The following is a 14,469-nucleotide window of genomic DNA, read 5'->3' on the forward strand; positions in this document are numbered from 1 at the left end:
CCTATGGGCACATTGCCATCATTTCACTTGTCTAAAAATCAACTATTATCAGCTCACAGTCTAGCTCCATAACATGGCATACAAGGCCCTTCTTAATCATGACCCAACTAAACTGACTGGTTTTGGCCTTTACTACTTATGTACTTCCCTGTCACACTGTACCCTATGCTTCAGTAATATAAAACTTTGCTTTCATCTGAACATGTCTCCATGCATTGAAATCTGTTCTCTGATTGGAAAACTCAGTGTGATTGTTTAATTTCCAATTCACAAGTCACTTTCTCTGTTGTGTCTTTCTTTAGTTGATTTTTATTCTTTGGGCAGTGTGAAAATCACTGTTATAATACTGCTCATATTGTGTCTTGATTTTTTTCGTTTTTTCTTTGACTTGATTATTATATTTTAGATGGCAGGAACAGTATCTTGTATATTTGGTCTTTCATTTATTCTTTTATTCAACAAGGATTCATTGAATATCTACCCTGTCAGGCATAGCATAGGATATAAAAATGAATACAGTACTATCATAGTCAGGCACAGAATTTCTTAGCCTCTTTACTTTTGATAGTTTGGATCAATTCTTTTTTTAGGGGGCTGTGCTTTGCTTTGTATGCTTTTTATTGGCATTCCTGTCCTGCACCTAGTATATCCAGTAGCATCTGCTTAGCACTGCCAATCAAAAATATCTCTAGATATTGCCAAATGTTCCCTGAGGTATACTCTGCTTTGGTTGAGAATCACTGGTCTAGTGGGAGAGAGTAAACTAAACATTGAGTGCTCATTAAATATCAGGCCTTGTGGTAGATGCTTTCGTTATGTTATTTTTAATTAATTCCCCATTGTACCACTGATCTAACTGAGGATCAGATGTTTAACAAAGTTTTCCCAGTTTCACATAGATAGTAAGTTATGAAGCTGGGATTTGATATCAAGTTTCTCTGACTCTAGAACTCATATTTTTTTTTTTTTTTTTTGAGACGGAGTCTCGCTCTGTTGCCCAGGCTGGAGTGCAGTGGTGCCATCTCAGCTCACTGCAAGCTCCGCCTCCCGGGTTCATGCCATTCTCCTGCCTCAGCCTCCCGAGTAGCTGGGACTATAGGGGCCCGCCACCAAGCACAGCTAATATTTTTTGTACTTTTAGTAGAGATAGAGTTTCACCATGTTAGCCAGGATGGTCTCAATCTCCTGACCTTGTGATCCGCCTACCTTGGCCTCCCAAAGTGCTGGGATTACAGGCGTGAGCCACCGCAGCCGGCCTATTTGTTTCATTTCAAAATAGTGAACAAGTAGATCAATATTTAATGTATTATAAGTACTATATTACAGATGTTCAGGAAGTCTTGTGAAAGCATAGAGGTAGGAAGTTTCAATTCTTTTCCTAGGTAGGGATAGAAGTAGTAGCAGGTAAGTCTTTTCAGAGGAATGATTGATGTGAGTCTGGAAGAGTGTACATATGTTTTTCTCAAGTACACAGAGGGTTGGGTGATCATTTCAGTCAGAGCGACTACTTAAAAGCAGAGAGGCTTGCTTACTTTAATATGGTAAGTATTTAGTCTGACACAATAGGAGCTCAAAAAATGAATGGTCATAGGTATTTGTATTTACCCTGGAAGAACAACTGGGAAAATCTATTTATATATGCCTTTATTTCTGAGCAGAATTTAGCTGGAATAGGGTGTATAAAGCAGAATGTTGGATAGATAGCAGTATGGCTAGATTGTAACAGAATATATACTATTGTATTGCTTCTGGTTTTCTTGATTGTACTTTTTCTGGGCCTATTTTTGTGGTACAGAATAAGTAGAGTGGGTTTTCCCCACCAAATAAAGTATATTTTTACATGTATTAGTGGAAAGAAGAAGATCTCTATAAAATTAGTTAAGAAATATTTTTAAAGCATCTACTATGTGCCAAGAATTTTGTGAGGTGCTGGAGACACAAAAATTAAGTTTCCTTAAATGCCTTAGACTCAGCCCAGGGTGTCCACTTGATCTTATTCCCTGAACCGCTCCTTTTTCCACCAACACAGTTAAGAGTGTCCTCCTTTGTCCAACACTGTTCCTTGTAGGATCTGTATTTATTAATTAATTCAACAAGCATTTATTGAGTCCTTGCTGTTTGCTTGGCTCTGTTCTTAGAGCTGTCATTCCAGTTGGAGAGACAGATAACAAACACATAAATATATAATGCAGTGTTAGGCAGTGATAGTGATAAATGCCTTGAAGAAGAATAAAACAGAATAAAGATATTGTGACAAAGACTGCTATTTCATACTGACCGGTCAGGTTAGGTATGCCTTGATGAAGAGGTAACATTTGAGAAGAGACATGACATAAAGTAGGCAAAAGAACCATGCAAATGTCTAGAGGAAGACTATTCCAGGGAGAGGGAATGGCAGATGCAGAATTCTAGAAGGAAGCCTCACTTGTTAGGTGAGAATAATAGTAAAAAGGCAAGTTTGGCTCATTCTTTAGTATATTGGGAGACAATTTGAAAGTTTTTAGGTAATAGTTTTGGGATTTTTGGGTTTTATTCTCAGGTGTATTGGGAAGTCATTAGGTTTTGTGTAGGCAAGAGGTGTGATATATGTTTAAAGAAGGCCACTCTGGCTGCTTTGAATAGATTATAGGAGGCCATGATTGGAAGCAGAGAGACCAGTTAGGAAATCTGTTGCACTGGCCTTGCCAAGAGAGGAGAGTGTATGGATTGGGATGCAATTGATGGGGGTTGGGGAAAGTGGTTGGATTCAAGATATATTTTGAGAGTATAGGCAATAGACTTTTGCTGATGTGGAATATGAGAGAAGCATTAAGGATATCTCAAAGAATTTTTGGTCTGAGACATGAATAAATTATTGTAGCATATACTGAAAAAAGAAGGAGCAGATTTGGAGAAGTGCAGGAATTAAGAATTTAGTTTTTTAGCATTTAACATGCTTCAGTGAGTTCCTTCTTTCCTATGAGATTGTGAACTTCTTGATTCCGGACAACGTTTTCTAGTCTATGTTTAATCAGACCTCAGGACATGACTTGGCAAATTGTAGGAACTCAACACTTACTTGTTGATTGTGTGTATTAATACATGAACAAATGCCCTATTGGAGATGAAAAACCAATTTTCTGTTTAAATTTTAGGATTGAGAAAAGTTAACATTTTCATTCAAACAATTAAAAATAAAAAATTAAAAATGAAGTTATTAATTATTACTAATTGGACTTTTACTTTGTAGGTGGCACATTTTTATAATTCTATTGATCAACAAATGATTCAAAGTCAGAGGCCAATGATGTTACAATCTGCCTTAGCATTTGAACAGATAATTAAGGTAAATGGGCTTTTAATTTTATTATAATTAGATTTTACATGTGAAGTGTTTAATTCTTAATTTTCCGGTGTTCCCTTCAGCTTAATATATCAAATGATCTAGATTTTGTTTTGCTTCCAGGGACTTCCTTCAATCTTAGCAAGTAAAATTATTTTTTCTAACTGTAGGTTTAAGTGGTTAGAATATTTCATATATTTTGGTACTGATTTCGATCAATTGCATTGATATAGATAGAAAATGATTTGTATGATGTTATGTTCATTTATCCTCTGAAGTTTGAGGTCCTTATACACAAGCTTCCTTAGACCTTTCCCACCACCTCCCAATTTTGTAATGTAATATTTTTTTCCTTTTTATTTGTGGTTATTTAAATGTCTGTATATAAGAAATTAGGAGGCTGGGTGCAGTGGCTTACGCCTGTCATCCCAGCACTTTCGAGGCCGAGGCGGGTGGATCACCTGACATCAGGGGTTTGAGACCAGCCTGGCCAACATGGTGAAACCCCATCTCAACTAAAAATACAAAAAAATTAGCCAGGCATGGTGGTGGGTGCCTGTAATCCCAGCTACTCGGGAGGCTGATGCAGGAGAATCACTTGAACCCAGGAGGTGGAGGTTGCAGTGGGTCGAGATCGTGCCACTGCACTCTAGCCTGGGAGACAGAGCGACTCCATCTCAAAAAAAAAGAAAAAAAAGAAAGAAAAAGAAATTAGGAAAACCCATAATAGCGTTTAAACTGAATGTTACTATGTGACTACTAACTTTTTGAAGTCTGTATTTTTAGTCTTCATAGACATGAAATGTTTGACAAAAATAAGCAGAAGAGGTATATACCATTTTATTTTTTTCTATTTGAAAGTGGATAACTAGTTGTGTCAGGATCCTCAGGACCACCCCAGATTCTTTGATTTGCTCAGAGGATCCACAGTACTCAGTGTATGGTCATACTCATAGCAGTATTTATTACGGTGAATGCATACAAAGCAAAATCAGCAAAGGGAAAGGTGCATGATGGGGTGAAGTCCCAAGAAAACAGGTACGAACTTCTAAGAGTCTTCTCCCAGTGGAATCACAGAGGGTGTACTTATTTTTTGCAGCAACAAATTGTAACACGTGAAATTTCGTGTTACTGGAGAAGATCATTAGAGACTCAAAACCTAGGTTTTTATCGGGGATGGCCACGTAGACACTTTCTGCCTAGTATGCACTGAAATTCCAAACTCCCAGAAGGAAAGCAAATATTCAGCATAAACCAAATTATTTAGGTACAGTGAGCCACTCTTATCAGAGTGGTAGGAACTCTTCTGAAATCTAAGTTCCCAAATGCCAACTAAGGGACATCTTTTAAGCAGGTCTTTTGAAGGATGGTAGTCAGACCTGCTATGTTAACTCTTTTCTGCACACTAGTTCTCAAGCTTGATAATTCTAGAAGTTACATCATTCATATTATAGATGTTATTAAAAGCACTTTTTTTCTTGTTGGCAGAGATTAACATGAGTTTATAATGCAAAGTTTAAAAACAGGTAAACAAAAAGAGATGTCGTATAATCATGCCATGAAGAAATGACCATTTTAAGAAGTCTGGTGTACATCCTTTCAAATATTTTTCTATGCAAATTTTTGAAAATGTATGCATATTTTAAAAAATGTATGCATAGTTTTGGAAATGGAATCACCCTTTATTATTTTTGACCTTTTCCCTCTAAAGTATAGATCATTTTAGCTGCAAGTCCTTACAACTTTTTCTTCCCTAATAAATTTGTTTAAAATAAAGTCTGTTGATATTTCTGAGGAGGAAACTTATTTTGTAAAATTGTGTTGTGAGAAGTAAATATATTTAACAAGTTAAAGGAGACATAGTAGTGGTTATAAAACTAGCATAGGTGTAGAGAGAACATAAGGTTCTGTATGATGCTCTACTCACTATATTGTAGAAAATCAGACTGTAATTTATTTATTTTCATATTCTCAAGCAATAGAACAGTAAGTGATATATAGTAATTATTCAGTAAACAATTTTTAATTCATCAGCTATTTATTGAGCATCTCCTATATTCCAGAGACTTACTATGCCTTCATTGTCCCCTTCAAGTGAAGTATAGAAACTTTTCTTCTATTTAGGTTTCTTCAGTCTCTCTACTTCCATATATTAGTCTTAAATATTTTCCCTATATACATTGAAACCACTTCAGATGGTGTTATAATTTTTCCCCTAATCATCAAATATGATTTAAAGAACTCATGACAAAAAGGATAGTTTACTATATAGTTATATTTTTTACTTATCCCAATATTCTTTTTTTTTTGAGATGGAGTCTAGCTCTGTCGCCCAGGCTGGAGTGCAGTGTCGCAATCTCGGCTCACTGCAAGCTCTCCCGGGTTCACCCATTCTCCTGCCTCAGCCTCAGAGTAGCTGGCACTACAGGTGCCCACCACCATGCCCAGCTAATTTTTTTGTATTTTTTAGTAGAGATGGGGTTTCACCGTGTTAGCCAGGATGGTCTCCCCAGTATTCTTTTTTTTCCCTGAAGTTCTATGCTTCTTTGGATATTTTTTTTTCTTCTTTAAAGAAATAACTTCCTTTAGCCATGGTTTAAGATTAGGTGTGCTGGTGACAAATTTGCTTATCTTTCCTTTGTCTGATAATGTTTTCTTGTTTTCCTTTTCCCTCATTCCTGAAGGATATTTTAAATAGATATGAAATGCATATTTGACATTTTTTTTTTAGCACTTTAAACATTTTCCATGTCCTGCTGGCATCCATGATTTCAGCTGACAAACTACTGTCATTTGAATTTGTGTTCCTTTCTGAATAATGTATTGTATCTCTTTGGCTCCATTCAAGATTTCAAAGAATCTTTGTCTTTAGTTTTCAGAAGTTTAATTATTGTCTAGGAAAGCATAGAATCCTTTTTTAACTTTATCCTATTTGGGGTTTACTCAGCTTCTTGAATCTGTAGGTTTATGTCTTTTGCCACATTTGTTAAGTTTTCAGTTACTGTTTTTTGAATTTATTGTTTTTCTCAGTTTTTCTCTCTTCTTCCTTTTAGGAAGCATGTATATATGTATACACATATAATGCTTAGGAAGCATGTATGTATATATATACAAAATCCTTGGAAGCTAATATATATATATTAACTCTTTTGTCTCAAGGGCCTCTGTTCATTTTTCCCTTTATTTTCTCTTTGTTGTTCAAATTACATAAACTCTCTTGATTTTTTCTCAAATGTACTCATTGCATCCTCTGACATCTCCACTCTGCTATTGAGTCCATCCAGCCAGTTTTACATTTCTGTTACTGTATTTTTCAGTTCTATATATTCCACCTCATTTTTTTTATAATTCTATTTTTTCTTGAGATTTTCTGTTTTTCACTAGTTTCAAGAGAATTTGTAACTGCCTGTTGAAGCATTTTTATGATGGCTGCCTTAAAATCCTTGTCAGATAATTCTTATGTCAGATTCATTTCAGTGTTCACATCTGTTACCTTTTCTCATTCAAGTTGTGATTTTTTTTAGCTCTTGGTATCACAGGTGATTTTCCCTTATATTCTGGTCATTTTGGATATTATATTATGATGCACTGTATAATATTTAATTTTTATATTTTAGAAAACAGTCTCTTTGCTGAGAGGGTTGGGGGTGTGTGTGTGTGTGTGTGTGTGTGTGATGAGTTTCCTGCTGGGCCCTACAGTACCAAAGTGGAGCATTTGTACACTGATTCATTGCAGATGACTGGAATGGAAGTTTAGTGCTCCATTTTACTTTACTGATACCTTGTTGTGAAAGTGAGGCACCAACTTGGAGGCACCTTGTTGCCTCCAAGCTGGGGTGTAAGCTCAGCTTCCTACTGGGCCCTGTTGACTCCTCCCTGTTAGGGAGGAGGAGTAGAGGAGTGGAGGGCAGATTCACACCACTGTGAGTGGGGTGGGAGCTCAGCTCCTTGTTGAGCCTCATGAATATTACCTTGTCAGGGGGATTGGAACACTGCATGCTTTTGCCAAGTAGGTGATGGAAGATCAGCTTTTTACTTAGTCCCACTGAAACATTAGAAAGGGGTGATTTTCTCCTTGGTGTTAAGCTACAATAGGATGTGTATTGCTAAAAATGTTTTCTCTTGTTAGGCTGCTGTTTTCCTAGCCCTTTATAGGAGGTTTTTGAGTCTGTGCCTGTCAGTGGTTCCAGATTGGAATCTTCTCTAGCGCCCTGTCCTGGATGTATAGGAGATAATAAGGAAACCCAGGTTTGTCGTGCCTTAATTCCTCAGGTTTCTAGGCTGTCTGCCTTCTTCATTCTTCCTTTCCGTCACCTTATGCTTGTTTGTTGTGTTATGTCTAGGGCTTTTTAGTTGTAAAAGGGAGAAGCTGGAAGAAATGGGCTACTCAATCTTTGCCAGACTGCCTTATCATTTATAAAATGGAAAATTATTATGTGCTTTCTTTGTTGCAGGTCAGAGTTGGGGATAGTTGAACTTTTGATATAGAATATTGAAACTTTTGGAAAAAAGAAATACTTATACATACTAAAGGTTATTTATTGTACCATAGAATTCAAAAGCAGGAAGTGGAGGGAAATCACAGATAACTTGGGATAATCCTAAAGAATTAGAAGGCTATATCCAAAAACTCCAAAATGCTGCTGAACGGCTTGCCACTGAAAATAGAAAACTGAGAAAATGGCACACTACATTTTGTGAAAAGGTATATTTTGTTTATAAAATTGAATAAGCTATGAATGATATTATTTAAAAAGTCATTAAGATACAATTTTTAAAAACTTATTTTGAAATAATTTGAGACTTAAAGTTACAAAAATAGTACAGAGAAATCACAATTCCCATTTGCCCAAATTCCCTGTTGTTAACAACTTATATAACCGGAGTAGTTATCAAAACCAGGAAAAAGACTGTTTTGAATTTTACAATTTTCCACTAACATTCTTTTTTTTTTCCAGGATACAATCTAGAATCCAACTCTGCCCTTAGTTGTTGAGTCTCTTTAGCCTCCCCTCCTCAGTCTTTTCCTTGTTTTTCATGACTTTGATGAGTACTGATCAGTTATTTTGTAGAATCTCTCTTGATTTGGGTTTATATGATGTTTTCCCATATTAGATTGGGGCTATCTTATTTTGGCAGGAATAGCACAGAAGTGATGTTTTGCCCTTCTCAGTACATTGGTCAAGTATTGATATGTCTTGTATAGATTAAGTTAAACTTGATCACTTGGTTAAGGTGGTATCTGTCAGGTTTCTCCACTGAAAAGTTACTATTTTTCCAGCAATACTTTGAGACTAGCATGCTCTAATTTTTCATAGGTGGTTGTTCTTATGAATATTGATCTGCTTCGGCAGCAACAGCGCTGGAAAGATGGATTACAAGAATTGAGAACTGGCTTAGCAACTGTAGAAGCACAGGTAGAGTATGTTTTATTTTGTGTGTATACTTTGAAATATGACCTTTTCAGAATGTAAGTACAATATATGAATTGCCGAGAAGTTCATAAAAGTTATCTTTAAATCTTACTAATAAATACCTAATATATTTATAATTTTTGACTGAATTATATATAAAGACCACATATGAACAATCAATTTACATTTAAAAATATAAAAATAAGTTCCTGTAGTGTCTTATGGAATGCCAAATTCCTCAATTCAGAATTTGTAGGTTTTTGTCTTGGTATTTAAATATCTATCACTTATTAGTTCTCTTCTAGGTGATCGTGATAGCCGTAAAAAACAAAGTTAAGTTTAGGTAGAATCCTAATGATTGGAATAATTTTATTCCAGATTTTTTTCCTTTTTGGAGGTAAAATTTGAGTTCTATTCATATTTTGATATAATAGTTGATGCATATAAAGGTGGCTAGCACAAAGCCTGCTACATAGTAGATGGTAATGAAATCTTAGCAGAATATGAGTTAGATGTCTCACACATTTACATATATTTAATATTTTTCAGTTTTTATAACTTCAAGAAAAGGCAAAAGTACTACTAGAATGGATATATTTATGGTTGTATAGAAGCAAAAAAGTATGTAAATTCTTATGAGCAATCTAATATTTTAAATCTCATATGTTTTAAAATACGTAGTAGATTTACATTATGTAAGAAGTGGGAAGGGAAGAGAAGAGCTATACTTGATGGGAATTTTTGAAAAAGGACCAAGAAGTTCACAAAATAAACCAGTATTTGTGGTACTACATCATAAAATAAAGTCCAAATATGAAAGTCATTTAATATTTGCTTGGTTTTTAAATTTTGCTGATCTTTTAAAATAGTATTTATAAGTATGAAGATTAGATTTTCATATTTGTCTCTAAATAAACTTATACGGAGAGTAACAAGGATGTACCAGTTTTACATATTTGAAATGAGTTGGTTTTATTTTTGTGATTATAATTGTGCATTATGTGACATGAAAGTATTAAATGAAAAATCCATTCTACTGCCTAATTTTTAAATTAAAAATGTGAATGTAACATATTAGGGATTCCAAGCAAGTGACATGCATGCATGGAAACAACACTGGAATCATCAACTGTACAAAGCTCTGGAGCATCAGTACCAGATGGGCTTAGAAGCACTTAATGAGAATTTGCCAGAAATAAATATAGACTTAACTTACAAGTAAGATGTTTTTTCAACCCCAATTTAATGTTCATTGTATAATTTTCTAACAATTTATGTTTTAAAGTTATTTATTTACTTTTAGACAGGGACGATTACAATTCAGGCCCCCTTTTGAAGAAATCCGGGCTAAATATTATAGAGAAATGAAGAGATTCATCGGCATTCCAAATCAGTTTAAGGGAGTGGGTGAGGCAGGAGATGAATCTATTTTTTCTATTATGATTGATAGAAATGCAAGTGGATTTTTGACGATTTTCAGCAAAGCAGAAGATCTGTTTAGAAGATTGTCAGCTGTTTTACACCAACATAAGGTATAGAACATGTAATGTTCCATCCTTCCATCATAAAATTATTTCTGATTGATTGAATTTACATTAAATGTATACATTAATAGTTTACCTTGTGTGGCATAACATTAAAATATGGCAAAGCAGAGAGCTGGATTCGTAGATACTTATACAACCTAGATTTATACTTCAGAAGAGAAAAAAGTTATGGGAAAGATTTTTTTTTTGTCTTTGATTATTTTGTGACAATTGAGAAACTTGTTTTTTTTGGTTTTTTATTTTTATTTTTTATTTTTTATTTTATTTATTTTATTATTATTATACTTTAATTTTTAGGGTACATGTGCACAATGTGCAGGTTACATATGTATACATGTGCCATGCTGGTGTGCTGCACCCATTAACTCGTCATTTACCATTAGGTATATCTCCTAATACTATCCCTCCCCCCTCCCGCCACCCGACAACAGTCCCCAGAGTGTGATGTTCCTTTTCCTGTGTCCATGTGCTCTCATTGTTCAATTCCCACCTATGAGTGAGAACATGCGGTGTTTGGTTTTTTGTTCTTGCGATAGTTTACTGAGAATAATGATTTCCAATTTCATCCATGTCCCTACAAAAGACATGAACTCATCATTTTTTATGGCTGCATAGTATTCCATGGTGTATATGTGCCACATTTTCTTAATCAAGTCTATCATTGTTGGACATTTGGATTGGTTCCAAGTCTTTGCTATTGTGAATAGTGCCACAATAAACATACGTGTGCATGTGTCTTTATAGCAGCATGATTTATAGTCCTTTGGGTATATACCCAGTAATGGGATGGCTGGGTCAAATGGTATTTCTAGTTCTAGATCCCTGAGGAATAGCCACACTGACTTCCACAGTGGTTGAACTAGTTTACAGTCCCACCAACAGTGTGAAAGTGTTCCTATTTCTCCACATCCTCTCCAGCACCTGTTGTTTCCTGACTTTTTAATGATTGCCATTCTAACTGGTGTGAGATGGTATCTCATTGTGGTTTTGATTTGCATTTCTCTGATGGCCGGTGATGGTGAGCATTTTTTCATGTGTTTTTTGGCTGCATAAATGTCTTCTTTTGAGAAGTGTCTGTTCATGTCCTTTGCCCACTTTTTGATGGGGTTGTTTGTTTTTTTCTTGTAAATTTGTTTGAGTTCATTGTAGATTCTGGATATTAGCCCTTTGTCAGATGAGTAGGTTGCAAAAATTTTCTCCCATTTTGTAGGTTGCCTGTTCACTCTGATGGTAGTTTCTTTTGCTGTGCAGAAGCTCTTTAGTTGAATTAGATCCCATTTGTCAATTTTGGCTTTTGTTGCCATTGCTTTTGGTGTTTTAGACATGAAGTCGTTGCCCATGCCTATGTCCTGAATGGTAATGCCTAGGTTTTCTTCTAGGGTTTTTATGGTTTTAGCTCTAACGTTTAAGTCTTTAATCCATCTTGAATTAATTTTTGTATAAGGTGTAAGGAAGGGATCCAGTTTCAGCTTTCTACATATGGTTAGCCAGTTTTCCCAGCACCATTTATTAAATAGGGAATCCTTTCCCCATTGCTTGTTTTTCTCAGGTTTGTCAAAGATCAGATAGTTGTAGATAAGTGGCCTTATTTCTGAGGGCTCTGTTCTGTTCCATTGATCTATATCTCTGTTTTGGTACCAGTACCATGTTGTTTTGGTTACTGTAGCCTTGTAGTATAGTTTGAAGTCAGGTAGCGTGATGCCTCCAGCTTTGTTCTTTTGGCTTAGGATTGACTTGGCAATGTGGGCTCTTTTTTGGTTCCATATGAACTTTAAAGTAGTTTTTTCCAATTCTGTGAAGAAAGTCACTGGTAGCTTGATGGGGATGGCATTGAATCTATAAATTACCTTGGGCAGTATGGCCATTTTCATGATGTTGATTCTTCCTACCCATGAGCATGGAATGTTCTTCCATTTCTTTGTATCCTCTTTTATTTCATTGAGCAGTGGTTTGTAGTTCTCCTTGAAGAGGTCCTTCACGTCCCTTGTAAGTTGGATTCCTAGGTATTTTATTCTCTTTGAAGCAGTTGTGAATGGGAGTTCACTCATGATTTGGCTCTCTGTTTGTCTGTTATTGGTGTATAAGAATGCTTGTGATTTTTGTACATTGATTTTGTATCCTGAGACTTTGCTGAAGTTGCTTATCAGCTTAAGGAGATTTTGGGCTGAGACAATGGGGTTTTCTAGATATCCAATCATGTCATCTGCAAACAGGGACAATTTGACTTCCTCTTTCCCTAATTGAATACCCTTTATTTACTTCTCCTGCCTAATTGCCCTGGCCAGAACTTCCAACACTATGTTGAATAGGAGTGGTGAGAGAGGGCATCCCTGTCTTGTGCCAGTTTTCAAAGGGAATGCTTCCAGTTTTTGCCCATTCAGTATGATATTGGCTGTGGGTTTGTCATAGATAGCTCTTATTATTTTGAGATACATCTCATCAAGAGTTTTTAGCATGAAGCATTGTTGAATTTTGTCAAAGGCCTTTTCTGTATCTATTGAGATAATCATGTGGTTTTTGTCTTTGGTTCTGTTTATATGCTGGATTACATTTATTGATTTGTGTATATTGAACTAGCCTTGCATCCCAGGGATGAAGCCCACTTGATCATGGTGGATAAGCTTTTTGATGTGCTCCTGGATTTGGTTTGCCAGTATTTTATTGAGGATTTTTACATCGATGTTCATCAAGGATATTGGTCTGAAATTCTCTTTTTTGGTTGTGTCTCTGCCCGGCTTTGGTGTCAGGATGACACTGGCCTCATAAAATGAGTTAGGGAGGATTCCCTCTTTTTCTATTGATTGGAATAGTTTCAGAAGGAATGGTACCAGTTCCTCCTTGTACCTCTGGTAGAATTCGGCTGTGACTCCATCTGGTCCTGGACTCTTTTTGGTTGGTAAGCTATTGATTATTGCCACAATTTCAGAGCCTGTTATTGGTCTATTCAGAGATTCAACTTCTTCCTGGTTTAGTCTTGGGAGGGTGTATGTGTCGAGGAATTTATCCATTTCTTCTAGATTTTCTAGTTTATTTGCGTAGAGGTGTTTGTAGTATTCTCTGATGGTAGTTTGTATTTCTGTGGGATCGGTGGTGATATCCCCTTTATCATTTTTTATTGCATCTATTTGATTCTTCTCTCTTTTTTTCTTTATTAGTCTTGCTAGCGGTCTATCAATTTTGTTGATCCTTTCAAAAAACCAGTTCCTGGATTCATTAATTTTTTGAATGGTTTTTTGTGTCTCTATTTCCTTCAGTTCTGCTCAGATTTTAGTTATTTCTTGCCTTCTGCTAGCTTTTGAATGTGTTTGCTCTTGCTTTTCTAGTTCTTTTAATTGTGATGTTAGGGTGTCAATTTTGGATCTTTCCTGCTTTCTCTTGTGGGCATTTAGTGCTATAAATTTCCCTGTACACACTGCTTTGAATGTGTCCCAGAGATTCTGGTATGTTGTGTCTTTGTTCTCGTTGGTTTCAAAGAACATCTTTATTTCTGCCTTCATTTCGTTATGTACCCCAGTAGTCATTCAGGAGCAGGTTGTTCAGTTTCCATGTAGTTGAGCGGTTTTGAGTGAGTTTCTTAATCCTGAGTTCTAGTTTGATTGCACTGTGGTCTGAGAGACAGTTTGTTATAATTTCTGTTCTTTTACATTTGCTGAGGAGAGCTTTACTTCCAACTATGTGGTCAATTTTGGAATAGGTGTGGTGTGGTGTTGAAAAAAATGTATATTCTGTTGATCTGGGGTGGAGAGTTCTGTAGATGTCTATTAGGTCCACTTGGTGCAGAGCTGAGTTCAATTCCTGGGTATCCTTGTTAACTTTCTGTCTCGTTGATCTGTCTAATGTTGACAGTGGGGTGTTAAAGTCTTCCATTATTATTGTGTGGGAGTCTAAGTCTCTTTGTAGGTCACTCAGGACTTGCTTTATGAATCTGGGTGCTCCTGTATTGAGTGCATATATATTTAGGATGGTTAGCTCTTCTTGTTGAATTGATCCATTTACCATCATGTAATGGCCTTCTTTGTCTCTTTTGATCTTTGTTGGTTTAAAGTCTGTTTTATCAGAGACTAGGATTGCAACCCCTGCCTTTTTTTGTTTTCCATTTGCTTGGTAGATCTTCCTCCATCCTTTTATTTTGAGCCTATGTTGTCTCTGCACGTGAGATGGGTTTCCTGAATACAGCACACTGATG

The 14,469-nt window shown here is 35.9% G+C and overlaps 1 protein-coding gene across 6 annotated transcripts in view; it reads left to right on the forward strand.

Annotated features, from left to right (window-relative positions):
* Nucleotides 1–14,469, forward strand: part of DYNC2H1 (dynein cytoplasmic 2 heavy chain 1) — a 370,438-nt gene that overhangs the window by 16,255 nt on the left and 339,714 nt on the right. For all 6 annotated transcript variants that reach the window (NM_001080463.2, NM_001377.3, XM_017018291.2 and 3 more), the window contains 5 exons: nt 3,230–3,325; nt 7,875–8,027; nt 8,641–8,739; nt 9,815–9,954; nt 10,040–10,268. In NM_001080463.2, coding sequence (NP_001073932.1) covers nt 3,230–3,325; nt 7,875–8,027; nt 8,641–8,739; nt 9,815–9,954; nt 10,040–10,268 — 717 coding nt within the window. The remainder of the gene's footprint in view (nt 1–3,229; nt 3,326–7,874; nt 8,028–8,640; nt 8,740–9,814; nt 9,955–10,039; nt 10,269–14,469) is intronic.

The sequence above is a fragment of the Homo sapiens genome, chromosome 11 (genome assembly GCF_000001405.40).
Source record: "Homo sapiens chromosome 11, GRCh38.p14 Primary Assembly".
Taxonomy (NCBI): domain Eukaryota; kingdom Metazoa; phylum Chordata; class Mammalia; order Primates; family Hominidae; genus Homo; species Homo sapiens.